Raw genomic sequence first — 3510 nt, 5'->3', positions numbered from 1 at the left:
GGCAGGGTCAAAATGATCGCCCTACCTAAAGAGGACAGTGGATGTCCATCTCCAGCCAAATGTTACACTCTGGCAAAGAAAACTCAGAGAAAGAGCCGAAAAGCTTTTGAGTTTTGTTTCTAAAGCTCGCTCTGGTCCCAAGCAAGTGACTTGCTTTGGACAGTAGGATGTTAATAGGTATTATTCATGCAGAAGCTTAAAACCCTACTTGTATCAGCCCACCTTCTCTTGGAATTCTGCTACCATAAGTACAAGCCTAGGCTAACCTGCCTGAGAATTAAAGATCACAAGAAGATAGCAAAGGTGTCCCATACAACCAGCCTAGAGCCAGCCAACTTCCAAACATGCTGGAGCCCAACCAAGATCAGCAAAAACACTTATGCAACCTGTAGCTGACTGAAGACCCATAGTGAGCCCAGCTAAGTCTGGCCTAGTTTAGCAGAATTGCTCAATTATCCCATAGATTCATGAGAAATGATAAATATTGACTATTGTGTGACACAGGTTTTGTGGTAGTTGGTTACACAGCATTAACATGCCAATAGATAACTGCTACACCATCCCATAGAAAGTGATCAATAAATGTTAGCTATGTACACTCATATTTCAGTGAAACTAAGAAGCTTTGACAATGGCACCGTTCTGCTTTTCCCAGAAGCTTTCTACAGAAAGTTTTCATACAATAGCACTATAACTAACATATAGCTAATAGTGACTGCTATATTCCATCAATTATCAGATGCATCCTGAATTAAAAGCCATTACAATATAAAAATTCTGCTTATTATAGAAAATTTCATCAGTACTCCACAAGATACTTGTGATTGGTGAACGTAGCTGCAACCTGGCTCCTTGGAACCATTGTGCTACAGAAATAAAGGTTGTCAGGTTGATACAATACAAAATCAGAATTTGGGGTCCATGAAAAACAGGGTTGCTAGATAGTGTATGGTGAATTGTCTCCTGTGTTAAAGCAGGTAAGGTGCCGTCCTCTTTGATCTCCTAGGTGACCAGAGAAGTTTGACACACACCCATGAGGGCTTCCACGTTGCCAAAATATCACAAGGACAAAGGCTTGAGAAACAAGCCTTCCTTTCACACTTGCAATTGGAAGGGATAAAATATGGTCCCTAGAGTCTCTTTATGCTAAATTAGGATATTGTTTAATTATACTGCCCATAAATGATACGGACACAGCCAGTGAGATTTTAAATACTACAATTAAAGGTATTCATTGCATGTTTTGCTTTCTATGTTTCTTCAGGGCTTGTGCACTACCTAGAGACAAGTTAATATTTTATTCCATTATTTCAATATTTTATAGTTTTTAATAGAGTGAGGAAAATGAGGTTAATATTTGGCATTTATACTTTTAATGGCAGTTTACAGGCATTAGAAGAAAATCAATAATGTCATTTCATTACTATTCATCATTCTACACCAAAAATCATCTCCAGGTTAAGACCTACATTTGGCCCCAAATAACCTTAACCTGAATCTATCTATCTATCTATCTATCTGTCTATCTATCTATCTATCTATCTATCTATCTATCTATCTATATACACACACACAGACTCTTCATCTTAAAATCCCCAAAAGTATCTTTTAGATGAAGGCCACTGCAAAGATGAGTGTCTCCAAAGCGTTTGACAAAATGATGACACCACAGGGATCTGGCTTGTCACTTACACAATGAAAGCCACGAGGGGGTAGTTCTCAGTCAAGAGGAATTAGCCTTCCATAGCTGAGTGATGAGCTGATTCTGAATTTTATCTTTCCAAGAAATTCCTGTTACTCCCCTGTGTCCATGTCTAAGAAAGGACCTTTGCCTTATTAATGATCAGGCTTGGGAACCAATCTACTAAATTATCCTCTTTGCCTAAGATCCAGCTTCGATTTTCTGCCCAGACACCTTACAGTTCCCTGGGAGGGCAGAGGTACTGACCTAGTGGGGTGAGAGAGTATGGATTTGGGGATCACAAAGGTCATGTGTTAAAGCAACATATTAGTGAATATTTATTGAATAGTTTTTAATGTGCCAAGCTCTCTTCTAAGGTCTAAACGTTTGGCATTTGATTTACCACTCACATCAGACCTATTATATGGGTGCTGTTAATAGCTCTGTTTTACATTTAGAGCTGGGGAAACTTGAGACACAGAGAAATTAAGGGACTCACAGAGACCTTACAGTTACTTTGTGGCAGAGACAGTATTCAACTCCTAGCAGTCTGACTCCACAGGCTTCTCTGCGTCTGTCCAATGGAAGCCTTCCTCAGCTGGGCTTTGGTCATTTTCAGATTCAGACAGACACTTCAGATGAGCTAGAGGTGTTCGAAGAGGTAGGGGCATCTTGGTTCAGTTATGAAGTAAACTATGTGCAGTCACACAAAATCATATTCGGGAGGTTGTTTAGGGTTTCTCAGGGGTTGAGACAGAGTAGAGTTTAAGGTACATGACGTCAAGTGTCCAATGGCAAAAGGTGGGGTGAGTCTGGGCCCCAGTGGATGAAATGTCCTGGGAGTATAAAGATACACACACATCTGTATTCCCTCCCCTCTCTTGGGCTCCGCTCTCTCCTTTATGGTATTTGGGATTAGAGAGCAAGTGTATGAGTTAGATCTGATGCTAATTAGAACATATGTCCCCTTATTGCCATATGAAGACAATGTTCATTAATTAAACATTGTTTCCTTTGCTGTAGAAATTACAATAATGACATTGGTAATAGAAAATTCTACAGCAGAAACACATCAGAGTAATTTCTATTCTTGTATTTCAATATCAAAACTCTACTGTTTGAAACCATACCCACTCTAGGAGATTTTAAGGTGTTTCCATCTCTCTCTCCTCAGGAAACATCATAATTAGCTTTGAACCCTGGGGCTGTAAGGTCATCTAATTGTTTTTCCTGCCTTGGGCAATGTCAGGCAGGAACAACTCATTGTTTTAAAGCTATACATCTGCTTTATGCCACTTATAATATGGAAATATAAAAAAGCGTTCGTCTTTGAAAAATTCAGATGTATTTGATGTATATTGGTCACATGCCATATGCCTCAGAAACTGTTCTTGTTTGCAAGCCACAGAATCCAATTGTACTTATCTCTATCAAAAATAAAATGTGTAATCAAGCTAATTAGCATACCCATCACCTTGTATGTTTACCTTTATATGGTGATATATATGTGCATGAAAATATATGGTATACCTTTAATATAGAATTATATTACTATATAGAATTATATAATAGAGAATATATTATAGAATTATAATATAGAATTATATTACTATATATAATATAGAATATTAATTGTATGTATATAGATATAAATACATATCAATAAATAAAAACATAAATATCAATATGTAAAGATTTACATATAAATATATATCAATACATAAAGATTTACATTTAAATATATATCAATATATAAGGATTTATATATAAAAAATATAAATATATATTAGCCCCATCTTCTGGACTAATGATATAACTCTAAAAATCTC

The sequence above is a fragment of the Homo sapiens genome, chromosome 10 (genome assembly GCF_000001405.40).
Source record: "Homo sapiens chromosome 10, GRCh38.p14 Primary Assembly".
Lineage (NCBI taxonomy): Eukaryota > Metazoa > Chordata > Mammalia > Primates > Hominidae > Homo > Homo sapiens.
Note: the sequence above shows the minus strand (reverse complement) of the source record.